The sequence below is a fragment of the Homo sapiens genome, chromosome 5 (assembly GCF_000001405.40).
Source record: "Homo sapiens chromosome 5, GRCh38.p14 Primary Assembly".
Taxonomy (NCBI): Eukaryota; Metazoa; Chordata; class Mammalia; order Primates; family Hominidae; genus Homo; species Homo sapiens.
Window position 1 is genome coordinate 56481830 of NC_000005.10, and position 14950 is coordinate 56496779.

Below are 14950 nucleotides of genomic sequence, written 5' to 3' on the forward strand. Positions count from 1 at the left end.
GCAGGTGGAGCTGGCCAGCTGCGAGCCAGGATGTCCTTGCTCTTTCCAAATTATACACAGTTTCCACAAGGAAAAAAGAGAGGGGTAGGGGGTCCAGGCAGATCTTCAGCTGTTTGTATACTCTGCACCAGGAGGCGCTATCATCAGCCCGGACCCCTACTCCACAGGACTGAGGAGACCACAATTCTTCCCTCCAGGCAGAATCGTGGACCCAATATTCCCGTCTCCCCGAATTCTCTTAACTCAGTATACTGCCATTAACAGCATAGTCAGCCTTCTGGACTTGAACTCCAGAAGGAATTTTGTCTCATTTAGTGCCTGCAGGGGAGCAGGATGAGATAGTACCTCTTGTACCGGCACAAGGTCTCTGAGTTGACTCTTACATAAACATTGCGCTGTTTCTAGGGACGGCATCATTTCTTGACCTAGAGAAACAAAGATATTGTGGGAAGGACCCCTGATGCTCAGTGGCAGTTTGGAGACCTGGCATTAGCCTTACTCAGTAAGGCTTCCTGATCTAGCAGGACTGATCCAGTCAGCTTTGATGATCCCCTAGCCTGGTACTGGGATTCTTCCAAACACCCATGAGATCACCCACATCTCACAGGGGCTGGTAGTGTTCCAGCAGAGAAAGGTGAGGGTAGCAAGCAGTAGTCACTTTGGGCCTGAAATGAACATCTTGGGGTTTTTATATCTGCCCACCCACTATGGGACATTATTGTCCCTTCCTCTTTGCTACAGTGTTTCCAGAAAATGAGAAGTAGCATCTTCTTAGAAATAGATTGGGTACCCTGTCTTAGACCTAGTTCCTTTTTTTTTGTTTTTTTGAGACGCTGTCTCACTCTGTCTCCCAGGCTGGAGTACAGTGGTGCGATCTGGGCTCACTGCAACCTCCGCCTTGGGGGTTCAAGTAATTCTCCTGCCTCAGCCTCCTGAGTAGCTGGGAATCCAGGTGTGTGCCACCACACTCGGCTAATTTTTGTATTTTTAATAGAGACAGGGTTTCACCATATTGGCCAGGCTACCCTTGAACTCCTGACCTCAAGTGATTCGCCTGCCCCAGCCTCCCAAAGAGCTGGGCAGTTACTTTTATTATAGTTCTAGATAACATAGAAAAGAACATGGAAAGCAGCTATGCAAGCAAAACACAAACACAAACAACCCTGTTAAAAAGTGGGCAAAAGACATGAACAGACACTTCTCAAAAGAAGACATGCAAGCAGCCAACAAATGTGAAAAGATGCTCAGCATTGCTGATTATCAGAGAAATGCAAATCAAAACCACGATGAGATCTCACACCACTCAGAATGACTATTATTAAAAAGTCAAAAAAACAACAGATGCTGGCAAGGCTGTGGAGAAAAGGGAACACATATACATTGCTGGCATTGCTGGTGGGAATGTAAATTAATTCAGCCACTGGGGAAAGTAGTTTGGAGATTTCTCAAATAAAACAAAACTACCATTCGACCCAGCAGCAATCCCATTACTGGTACATATCTAAATGAAAAGAAATCGTTTTACCAAAAAGACATTCATTTTTATGTGCTTCACAGCATTATTCACAATAGCAAAGACATTGACTCAGCCTAGGTGTCCGTCAATGGAAGACTGGTACATATACACCATGGAATACTATGCAGCAATAAAAAAGAAGGAAATCATGTCCTTTGTAGCAACATGGATGCAGCTGGAAGCCACTATTCTAAGCAAATTAATGCAGGAGCAGAAAAACCAAACAGTGCATGTTCTCACTTATATATGGGAGCTACATATTAGGTACACATAGACATAAAGATGGCAACAATAGACACTGGGGGATACTAGAGGGAAGCAAGGGTTGAAAAATAACTATTGGCTACTATGCTCACTGCCTGGGTAACAGGATCATTTTACCCCAGACCTCAGCATCACATGTATATCACACAATATACCCATGTAACAAATCTGCACATGTACCCCTGAATCTAAAATAAAAGTTGAAATTATATATTTAAAAAAAAAAACAGGACAGAACATGAACTATGGTGACTATTTTCAAAGGAGGGAGACTTTGCATTTGCCAGGGTTCAGGTTTTATAATATATTCTTGATATCAATATATTTTAAAAGATATCTGGGTGAAGTTTAAAAATCCCCTGAACACACATTTAATAAGCTATCTCCGAAACCTATTGAGAAAGGCTGTTCTTTGCCTGCCCAGACTCTGCCTCTTCCATTCTGACTGTCCTCACAGCCAATGGGACAACCCGTAAGAATAATGAGCTCTGGCCACCCAGCCCCATCCATGGTCAATGCCTCTTGCGGAACCCATTGTCTTTGCCTTATAGGATTGCAGACCTGGCCTCCGACTCCTAATGGCTTGCTCTATTTCCTGCTTGCACTCTGCCTCTCTCCATCTAATGGCGGAGCCTCCCTGGCTCCAACCCCCTGTGCTTTCCCTTAATGTCCTGCTCTTCCAGACACTCCAGTAACTTCCTTGCCCAACCTGTTGGCTTCCATGGCAAGTGCTCCTGGAAAACCTGATCGGCCCCTGCTCCTCTAAAGGGGTTCTGACACACGCTCCCCTTCAAGTTGCTATAGGACATCAGACACCAAGATTGTGGGCAATTACTACCATAAATAAATGCACAAGAATACCACGGTTCTGTTTGAAGAAAGTGATTAGGATTCAAGACCGTCTACACATAACGGTCTATATAATGGCTTCTTGCTTAGACTTGGTCACTTCCAGAGTCTTCTGTCCACCTCTCTCCCATCCCCCTCCTGCTTCCCCATTAGTTTAGTAAAATGTGCTTTGCAGAGAGCCCAGTTAGTGCCTTCCTACAACTGAGGATTAATGAGGCAGCAGAGAGGTCCAGGCCCCCACTTATTGTCCCTCCCATCCACTGGGCAGTTCCTCCACTCCACTGAGTCAGGAAGGAGAAAATTCTAACCACCAGGACTATTTTTTTTTTTTAACATCAAAGTCCTGCTGAATGTAAAATGGTACCATTACTATGGAAAACAGTTTGGTGGTTCCTCAAAATGCTGAACATTGAATTACCATATGACCCTGAAATTCCACTCCTAGGTATATGCCCAAAAGAACTGAAAACATATTTAAACAAAAATCTGTACATCAATATTCATAACAGCACTGTTCACAGTAGCCAAAAAGTGGAAACAGCTCAATTGTCCATCAATGAGTGAATGGATTAATAAAATGTATGTACATACAATGGAATAGTATTCAGCCATGAAGAGGAATGAAGTATTGATACAAACTATAATCCAACATATATTATATATAAAATACAACATAAATGAACCTACAAAACATTAAGGTAAGTGAAAGAGGCTAACTAGTTGATCATAATAATGATGATAATGAGAATGATAACTTATGATAGTGAAGATGACTATGATGATGGAAGAAAGAGGCTTAAAGGGGGTCCCACAAGTCTAGACAATATAGCATCCCTAGATTCCCTGGAGCAGGACAATATTTCTGAGCAATCCTAAGCCTTGAGCCACTTTGACCCCACTGTTGGTGCAGCCTTGCCCAGATCAGGGTTGGTAAGTAACAGAATCCAAGTTTGTCCAGTATCAGAGCCAACAATAATTCAACTGCACCTCAGGCTCCCTAAAATGGCAGTAAAGTTTTACAATTATAGCTCTGGGATCACAGAACTTCTTAGACATATATATATAATGAGAACATTCACTAATACTGAGTGCTTCGTATATACCTGGCACTGTTCTATGTGATTTATATATGTTAAGTTGTTAATTCCCACTGAAGTCTTGTGAACTAGGCATTGTTATTAGTCTCATTTCATAGATGAAGAAACTGAGGAACAGAGAGATAACATTTGTGTCCAAGACCTTATAGCTGTCAGGCAGCAGCGTCTGGATTGACACCCAGAGAGAAGGCTGCCACCAGGCCTCTGAAAGAGCTTACTGGGCAGGCACCTGCGTGATTACTTCTGGCTCTTCTCCTCCCTTGTAGAATCCCAACATGCTTCTCTTTTGTTCTTTCAGGGAGACCATGTCCTCCAACATCTGGCCCGGCTACCTTTGGCACCAAAACTGTATACATACCCTAGAGCAGAGACTTACTGAGTTTCCTTGATGGTATTTTTGTGCTGTTTCCTACATCAGGATATAAATACAACAAAACAATAGCTTGTCTTTTCATTTGCCTTTGCTGTTGTCTGTGCGATGAGCTCTGGGTGAAAGGACACTGGGACAGTATACAAATAGCTTTGGCTCTGAAGGTAAAGGCTTTTCTTTGCCACTGCAGGAAGTTCAAAAGAGATTTGTTCTTTTTTTGGGGACTGGGTGAGAGAGACTGATTCACGATTTTATTTTATTAGCGAGTTCAAGAGGCCTGGGATATTCATCTTGCAATGCTGTTTTGCATTTGTCTTTCTCCTTCATTCTCCAGAAAACCAGTAACACTAGGCTATAAAGCCATGAAGCTTCCCAGTTGGTGAATTCGGGGTGCTGGGGACCTAGATAGGGAAGAAGTTACTAGTCTGAAGAGGGCCTAGATGTGGCTTCAGTAATACCTACTCTAATACTTTCCCCTCCCCATTTTACAGATGAGGGAATTCAGTCCCAAATGGCAAAGAGACAGTTACCTTCCTAGGTCGGTAGTAGATGCAGAACTTAAGCCCTGGCCAGTCCCCTAGTTCTATATTCAAAGTTTTTCCCTGCCATGGAACCTTCCTCTCCACTGCCCCTGAAAGAAGTAGAGCACTGTTAGAAGAGTCAATGGATGCCAGGCCTGGCAGAGGTCAGGCTGACAGCAGATGTCAGAGGTGGTAGAAGCCAGAAGGGCCAGGGACAAAGTTTAAGGCTGTGGTCATAAAGCAGAATGTCTAGTCTCTGCACTGATGGGTCCCAATTTCAGAGACAGGTGGAGTGGTTCAAAAATCTCAATTGCTTATTAAGAGAATAATTGCTCTGGAAGTCATCATGCAAGGTGGCTGAAATGGGGGAGTGTATTAATCCATTCTCACACTGCTAATAAAGACTTACCCAAGACTGGGTAATTTATAGAGGAAAGAGATTTAATTGACTCACAGTTCAGCATGGTTGGGGAAGCCTCAGGAAACTTACGATCATGGTGGGAGGGGAAACAAACATGTTCTTCTTCACATGGTGGCAGCAAGGAGAAGAGCTGAGCACAAAGGGGGAAAGCTGCTTATAAAACCATCAGATCTCATGAGACATTCAGTATCACAAGAACAGCATGAGGGTAACCACCCCCATGATCCCACTGAATCCCTCCCATGACACATGGGGATTACGATTATGGGAACTACAACTCAAGATGAGATTTGGGTGGGGACAAAGCCAAACCATATTAGAGAGTATGATGTTCCTTCACTGGGAACCAGTGGTATTTCTGGTACTATGCAGGGAATTTCAGTGTATTATCTCATTTAATTCCCAGAACAACTCCATCATGTAAGTTTTATTAAACTCTTTTCACAGCTGAGGAGACTAAGGCTGAGAGAGGTCTCACAGCCAAAAAATATCAGGACAAACATATGATTATGAGTTCATTTGACTTTAAAGTTAGGAGGCTCTCCATTAAGCCATATGGCCCAAAATAAGACTGGGGTCTCTTATCTCAGAACTTTGGACTTCCGCCACGGACTTTTCCTTCCAAAAGAAATTTTTAAATTGCTATTGATATATTATCCATTTTTCTTAGATTTAGTCCCAATAGGACTAGTGGGAAGTTGGAAAATTCCTATGGGATGGTGTGGCTCTTCCTCTGACCTTGTTTAAGACACGCTAGTGAGAGGTGACAACCTGCTAGCAGCCCTTGCTCGCTCTCAGCACCTCCTCGGCCTCGGCGTTTGCTCTGGCCACTCTTGAAGAGCCCTTCAGCCTGCCACTGCACTGTGGGAGCCCCTCTCTGGGCTGGCCGAGGCTGCAGCCAGCTCCCTCTGCTTGCGGGAAGGTGTGGAGGGAGAGATGTGGGTGGGAACCGCAGCTACGTGCCTCCTGGTGGGTGTGAGCTCGGCGTGCCCTGCACTCGGGGCAGCCAGCTGGCGCCACCGGCTCGGGCAGTGAGGGGCTTAGCACCCAGGCCAGCAGCTGCGGAGGGGGCGCTGGGTCCCCCAGCACTGCCAGCTCGCCCACACAGTGCTTGAATTCTTGCCAGGCCTCAGCCGCTGCCCCCTGCTCCGTGGCTCCTGGTCCCAAGGGCTGAGGAGTACAGGTCAGCAGCGAGGGACTAGCGGGCAGCTCTGCCCGGGGCCCTGGTGCGGGATCCACTAGGCGAAGCCAGCTGGACTCCTGAGTCTGGTGGAGACTTGGAGAACTTTTATGTCTAGCCAGAGGATTGTATATGCACCAACCAGCACTCTGTGTCTAGCTCAGGGTTCGTGGATGCACCAATCAGCACTCTGTATCTAGCTTATCTGGTGGGGACTTGGAGAACTTTTAAGTCTAGCTAAAGGATTGTAAGTACACCAATCAGCACTCTGTGTCTAGCTCAGGGATTGTAAACGCACCAATCAGCACCCTGTCAAAACGGACCAATCAGCTCTCTGTAAAACGGACCAATCAGCTCTCTGTAAAATGGAACAATCAACTCTCTGTAAAATGGGCCAATCAGCAGAATGTGGGTGGGGTCAGATAAGGGAATGAAAGCAGGCTGCCCGAGCCAGCAGCGGCAACCTGCTGGGGTCCTCTTCCACGATGGAGTTTTGTTCTTTTGCTCATTGCACTAAATCCTGTTGCTGATCCCTGTTTGGGGCCGCACTGCCTTTATGAAATGTAACACTCACGGAGAAGGTCTGCAGCTTCACTCCTGGGGTTGGCCAGACCACAAACCCACCAGGAGGAATGAACAACTCCAGACAGGAGGAACGAACTACTCCAGATGCACCACCTTAAGAGCCTTGACACTCACTGTGTAGGTCTGCAGCTTCACTCCTGAAACCAGCCAGACCACGAACCCACCAGAAGGAAGAAATTCCAGACACATCATAACATCAGAAAGAACAAATTCTGGACACGCCATCTTTAAAAACTGTCACACTGCGAGGGTCTGCAGCTTCATTCTTGAAGGCAGTGAGACCAAGAATCCACCAATTCTGGGCACATTAGGGGAATGTCTCTGCCTCTAGGCCATTCAACAGACCATGGGGTGGGGAAGATGCAGGCTTGTCCTCTACCCTGTGACTGTCTGGGCCACCTAAGAGAGGTAGCCTGGAGGAGTGGCCAGGAGCAGAAACTTTGGCATCACACTGCCTGAGATGATACCTGCTATTATTTACCAGTTTTGGGGCCTTGGATAAGGTATGTGGACTTTCTATGCCTTATTTCTTTCATCTGTAAAATGGGGTAATAATACTACCTGCTTCATAGGATTTTGAGAGAATTAAACCAGTTAATATATGTAAAGGGTGTAGAGGATTGCCTGGCTCACCGTAAGTAGATTGAGCATCATTATTAATATGCTTCCAGGAGCCATTTTTCCTAAGTCTTGGATTTAATAACAACCAGGGACTGAATAACAACCAGAATCCTGGAACCAGCTACCACTTTTATTGAGCACCTAATCTCTTTGCTAGGAATGCTTTGTACGTACCACGTGTAACCCATAGAGATGTTAGATAAACATTATTATCTCCATTCTACAAACAAGGAAATGGAGGCATCGAAAAGTCAAGTGACTTGCCCCAGCTTACATGACCAGAAGGTGCCAAGCTGGTGTCTGAATCTACATCAGTCAGGCTACAGGGTCTCTCCACTGGCTCAGCTACTTCTCCAACGCTGGGTTGGTGGTTTCCAGCAAAAGTCATCTTTAAACATAATGTCTTTTTTTAATTTTTCATTGTATTTTTTTATTTTTTTGGAAGAAATGGGTAGTTAAAAAGTAAGCAGTGTGACTGTAATCAGATGTTCTCTAATTTGCCCCTTTGAAAAGAAAATTAAGGTGGAGGAGCATTGTCATTTAGTAGGAGCTGCTGAGGCCAGACAGTGTCCACTCTGGGCTGTGCATCGCCTTCCTGGGAATCTAGCCTGGACTGACTTAACCTCAGCCCACATGTACAGTAACCAAGCAAATTGAGGTCGATGACCAAGTTAAACACATTTTCATGGATTCAGGACCCTTGCTCTCAAAAAAGAGGTTTAAAATGATATTGATCCAAACCTCTTTGTTGTACAATGTTCTGGTACAGGAAACTGGTGATGATGATAGTGATGGTAATAATAAAAATGACAGATGGCTCTCTTATAAGAGCTTATGGAGGGCCAGGCACTGTGCTGCATGCTTTACACATATCATCCCATTTAATCCTCACAACTGTCTTTTAGAGCCCCTTTTATGGATGATGAAATTAAGACTTAGAGAAGGACAGTCCCTCATTCAGGTCACATAGTGACATGTGGAGTCAGGATTCACATTCCTGCTGAACTCCTAAACTCCTAAGGTTACATGCCTTCTGCACTCTTTGAAAAGGGTCTTTCTTGACCTAAGTCAAAAAGAAACATGCAAACTCTAGTTGTCCCAAAAAGAGATGGAGTCACCTATTCCCTCAACTCCAAAAGTCACTTGAATTCTGCCTTGAATTCTTGAACTTTGGGAAGAGATGGCAGGTTCTACCTGAATCTCTCAAACACTTTTAAAAGTGGAAGAATTATAGCAAAATATCAATTATTGACAAATGTTCTAATTGTCCTTGAATGTTCGTCAATCAACAAAGTCCTACCTAAATAGGTTCTCTCCTTCCTAATAGATCCTGGGGTAAGAGTTAAGCATTCTAATTTGCTCTTTTGTTCTGAGTTAGCTGGAAATTTTGCCACCAGTATTAAAACAAGAAGAATAAATTTATATGTGGAAACACTTTTACTTCCCAATACTCTAGAGTACTGTTACAATGAGACAGCAAAGTTATCCGTTTATTCATCCGATCATTTAATTGACATTTATGGAGTGCCTAGTATTTTCTCAATACTGCGCTAGAGGTGCTGGGAAGAGAGAGATAAAAATAAATGATACTCTCTTGTTCTCAAGTTGCTTGCAAATTTGCATGCATTGGTTCTAGTTTGGATTTTGCCAAATCCAAGGAAAAGGATCTTCAGCTGGTCCCGCAAAGCAAGCTCCAGAGAAACTCAACCGCAGAATTCCATTACTTGTATAGCTTTCTGGGTATGAAAAACAGTAAGAGGAACTATCACAACTCTAGGGTTTTTTAAGGCATGAATCATAAACCAGATCAACAGGTATGGTGACGGGCTTGCCAGTTTAGCAATTGTCTCTATAAAAGGAGAGAACTACTTGATCAGAAGGAAATGCCAACGCTCGCCCCCACCCCACAGCCCTCCCACGTGAAGCTCAACCTCTCAGAGTGCTGTTGAGATGCTGTCTGTTTTGTTTTGATTCCAGCTCCCTCTCTACCCAGCTGAGCCACATAGAGAGAATGAAGCCTGCCATTTTGCACACAGTTTTGCCTTTGCGGCTGTTTATTTTGCTAAGACTCTTAAACCTGTCAGCGAAGCGGTTTCCAGCCCAGTCTCTGTGGTAATAATCTCCCTTTCTAAGAGATAAGCACCCCGAGTGAGACAGATTGGAAGACAAACTAACACACCAAAGTTGCTGAGTACACACGACTCTTTAAAGATGGCCTCATTCACTACTCAGGCTTTATTAACTTCAAAAAAGAAAAAGAACAACAACAAAAAAGTCGAGCTTGGAGGTTTCAGAAACTCCCTAAGAAATTACTAGAAACCCCTCAGTGGAAAATGCCAATGCATGCACACATGTCTGACCCAGACCCACATTTCTTGCAGTACAAGGGCTGATGGAGAAACATCAGCAGGGAAGACCTGTTGGGGAGCTGGAGGGACAGGACCTCTTGACAAGCCTAGAGTTTACTCAGACGTCCCAAGTTCTGAGATATAAACCAAGTTTTATCCCCAGAAAACCAAACCAAACACTCAGATGAAAAAATGCCACTTCTCAATTTTCTAAAATCAAATTAAATCTTACTTTGCATCCCCTTTTCTCCAGGGCAGGAAATTTATTCTTGGTCATTAGGAAGGAACTCCTTACCAAAGATAATGCTAGATCCTTTTGGCAGGGTTCTTGTCCATCTTCCATGGCCTGTTTAGAAGTCATTGAACTTTTTTGTTTTGCTGCTTAAATCTTGATTTTATTCAACTGTGGGACAGCAACATACTCAGGGAAGGTGGGCCCTTCCCCAAGCTCAGGCAAATGGAACGTGGTTAGTTTAACCTGAAACTGTGCAGCAAACCTACCTTTCCTTCCACCTGCAGTGTGGGATGGGCATGTGACTGTGGATTTCTGGGATCTTCCATAGGGTGGGAGTGACGCAGGGCAAGTGAGCCCCCAAGTGGAGCTTAGCCTATAAGAGTTCTTGGCTTTGCCCAGGAAATAATTCAAGGGTGGGCCGGTGGTAGGGTAGAAGAAAACAGCTTTGTTGAAGCGGCAGTGTCACAGCTCTGTGACTGCTCCTGCAGAGCAGGGTTATCCTATAGGCAGTGTGTCCAGAGTAGCAGCTCAGTACAGTCTTGCAGTCATATTTATACCTGCTTTTAATTACATGTAGACTAAGGGGTGGTTTATGCAGAAATTTCCAGAGAAGGGGTGCTAACTTTTGGACCATCAGGCCATTGGCATGGAAAGAGTGGTAATTCCCTGTTGTTGCCATAGTGATGGTAAACTTACATGGCATGCTGGTGGGCTGTCTCATGGAAAGCTGCTTCTGCCTTGTCCGTGTTTTAGCTAGTCCTCAATTTGGTCCAGTATCCAAGCCCCACCTTCTACCTCAGGAGGAGAGTGTGAGAGGGGAATTTCCTATTTAATTAAAACAAAGGCATGTGAGGCAAAACTCCATTCTTTCCTTCCTTTTGAGCACATCCATGTGAGGCACGATGCTTGGACCTGCAGCAGCAGCCATCTTGTTGTTAGGAGGGGAAAGGAGAGCATCACCAAGAAGCCGCAGCCTCCTGACAGTGTTATGTTGCTGAGGTTACCTCTCTGGAACCTCTTGATGTGTACCATGAAGAACCCTTGATGTTCAAGGCTGTTCTAATTGGGTATTCTATTACTCACTAAAAGCAGCTTCCATTATACAATCTTTGAAGTCCTGAACACTGAGGACAGTGTGGTCTTCTGTGGTCCACCCTGTGGTTTTCCATCCGTGCTGGTCACCACTGATAATGTCTGAGCCCTCATCGTCTCCTGTGCAAACGTGCTTCACTGTTTTGGTGCCAAACGTGAGTAAGGTGGGGGACCTCTGCTGACGATTGCCCCCCCAAAGCCTAGTGTTCAGTGTCCCTGGGGCACCACACAGCCACTGCTCAGTCACTGTCCTGGGCTGCATTCAGGAGCCCACAGGAAAGCTCCTGCGTGGCAGTAATGCTGCGGTGACCTTGCCTCCAAGATCAGCTTGGGTGAAGAGGTTTTGATGTTGTCAGGCCTTCCTACGGCTTTTAGTAATAGGCAGTTGTCACTGGTAACAGATTCTCTGTCCTCAATTCATTCACTCAAAGCTAAGAAACTGGGTCCTGAGGCAACAGTCGGACCAGGCTTTAAAATGACCTCTGGAAATTTGAAGTAATGGTTTGGTTGAATAACTGCCTAGAAAAACACTGGGTTCTCTCCCTCCGCTTACCCCACCCACCCTACTCCATTCAGGATCTGCACAGCCACGAATCTGTTATGCGGATGCATTTTCAGTGCTCCCTCCCTCTTTCACAAGATATCTCCCCTTCAAGGACTCTCCCAGTGGCCAAGGACTTAAAAGCAAAAACAAACTGAATAAAGTTTCCATTTATCTTGAAAAGCTAGCCATCGAGTGGATTAAAGGGAGATCGAAAGACCTAGAAAGGTAAACCAAAGGTTAAGGATTCTTTTCTCTCCACACTGGAACTTCTTCATGTTACAGTTGATGGTCCATGGCTCAATAAGCTATGAGCCACTTCTGGTTCCTCAGAACGGTGCTTTTAGAAGCAGAGCTGTTACATGTCAATAAGCGTAACATTTGCCTGAAGAGCTTTTTTGGTTTAAAAGCATGTTTCTGGAGCCTAACTTCTTGCGATTCGAATTCCTCAGGCCTGGGATGGGGCCTGGAGAACTTGTTTTATGTTCAGCCAGCCCAGGCCATACTGACTGAGTAGTTCCCGAGTCCACACTGAGATACGCTGTCCTGCCCCTTGGAGCCAGGCATTTCATTTGGTCAAACGCAGCCTCCACCTTCTTCTCATTATAAGTAGCCTCTTAATTAAAGAAAAGAAAAAAAAAAAAAACAGAGTTAAAATAGTTCAACCTGAGGTTTTGCCAAAGCACTCAGCAAAAATGTTTGTTGATTCCAGAATCTAAAACGCTAAATGAGGGTCAAAAATGAACCTCAAATTACATTTGAGAGGAGACTTCCTACAGTTACTCCATCTTTTGTAGGAACTAATCGGAGCTGGTGTTCTCTAGCACACACTTTTTGGCAGCTTCATAAACTGTGTTTGAGGTTTCCCTAATTCTCCTGGCACCCCAGGGAACGGCCTAGGGAGCTCTTCCATGCAAATGAATAGTTTTCCTTATCTGGTTCTCAGAAGTTCCCCTTTCTGATGAAAACCACTCTGAAATTGGTTACAGAGCAGGGGCTGGATGAGAGGCCCCAGCTAGCCAGCCAGCACCTCTAAATAAACAGAAGGGGTCACATGATTTATCGGGTGATGAGTGTTTGCTGGAAAGCATGTGGCGTGAGGTGACTGTCCAGTCGGAGGGAGTGGGGGAAAAAAGGCACAAACATGCAGCAGAAAACTCCTACTTGCTTTTAAGGGAAACTCCCCTCCTGTAAGGACAGTCCCCGGGAGGCCCTTTATGAACCAGGCGAGGAGGAACGTTGTGGTTTTATGTGGGGGGCTGAGCTGGATGGGACAGGCTGGGAAGACGCCAGTGATCTGGGAGCAGGCAACTGTCTCCTAGAAGAGTCTCTTTTCCAAATGTTTCCCCAGCGTCTTCTCAGATACTCCTGTTTAATGGGGTCCTTCCTGTGATCTGGTCAGGTTTTCTATTGGTAACCTGAAAAATATTTGCTTGATACTTGAGCGATCACTCACTTGACAGAAGAACCTACTTATCCAAGGCTTTTGGGGTGGGAGGTGACAGAGGGAAGGGCTAGGGATGGAGGTGGACAGGGTCAAGCTGGCAAGTTAAAAGAGAGAGTGGCAATGGTTACACAGGCTCTGGTCAACTGCAAGGCAAGACTATCCGGGCTGATTATAGCGATCATTGAGCTGCTTTACCCAGTACTGACTAAAATTCCAAATGCTTAATATCCATTCTCAGGGGTCAACCACGGTTGATAAATTTCAGCATAATGCTCATATCTTTCCTACTGAGGACTGAAATGTCCTTATCTCTAAAATAACCTCTACAAATTAAGGAGAAAAATCAAAGAATGCCCAAAAGATAGGAACATACAATTCATAGAAAAGAAAATACAAACGGCTGTTAAAAACAAGAAAAGATGTTTGACTTCTGTGAAATCAATTTACAATTATTTCAAAATAGATGATTTTTAGAAGGTGGTTAAGTTTCACTCATAATGAGAGAAAAGCAAAAACTACATGAACTGGAAAGAAGTATAAAATGGGGGTTACTGGGCTCTCAGTCCTGTCCTGTTTCTTGACCTGGGTGCTGATCACATTGTGTGTTTAATTTGTGAAGACATTGAGCTACACACTTAGGATCAATATATCTTTATAAATATATTTAAATTTTAAAAATTTAAAAAGTACATTGGAATTCCATTTTTTTACCTGAGTGTCAAAGATAAACATGATAACACATGATACTGAAAGGGATGTAGAAAAATAGATACTCTCATAGATAAAAATTATAACACAATATTGAAAAGGATGTGAAGAAATACACACTTTCATACATTGTTAACAGGAATATAAATGGTACAGTTTCTATGGAGGGCAAATAGACAATATCTATCAAATATACCAATAAACATACCTTTTGACATAGCAATTCCACTTCTAAAATTTCTCCTACTCACACATGTACCAAATGATATGAATACAATGTCATTCTCTAACATAGTGTTAGTAATAGCAAAAGATCAGAAACAAACTAGATGTCCATTTTAAGGAGGCAGGCTAAATAAATCACTGTAGTTCTATAAAATGGAACATTACACAACTGTAAAAAAAGGAATTGGAAACTCTTGATGTTCTGCAGAATAATCTCCAAGATATATTGTTGCATTGAAAGAAAGGGAAGTATAGAAAGAAAAGCATATGTAGTATTCTATCATTTGAAAAGGTAAGGGGAAAATTATACATATCCTCACTGACATATAAATAAAACCATCTCTGGAAGAATATACAAGAAACTGGTAACATAGCTTTCAGGTGGGAGAACTGAACATTTGGGGAACAAGATTTGGAGGGAGACTTTTGCCATATTTCTTTTGAAACTTGAATTTTGAATTACATGAAGGTAAAATCCAGTCCAAAAATAAATGACGTTTAAAATCTTAAGCCTGGATTTTTTGTGCTATGTAATATCTTGACTTTTTAATTATTATTTGGACTCCACTTTCATATTTCTCTCTCTTACACTTTGTCATAAACCATCCCATCGTCAATTACATCTGTGAAGAGCAGGGAAAATTCTACCTTATAAGATCTGCACATCAATTATGATAAGACCTGACTTCAGAAATGTTTAACTGGGAAAATCACATGCCATCTAGAATGGAGAAAATCCGTTAATCTGCTTTGCTGACTTATCAGGCCCCAGACCATGAACTACCATCACATGGCAATCAGCGACATTTTTCCCTCCTGTTCAGTATCATTTACTAAGTAGCAGTACAGTCCATTAGCCTTTGGTCTGCCATGACTACTGTATCATTTTCTGCTATTCCCACTTGCTTCCTGAATAGGCTCTTGTTTCCT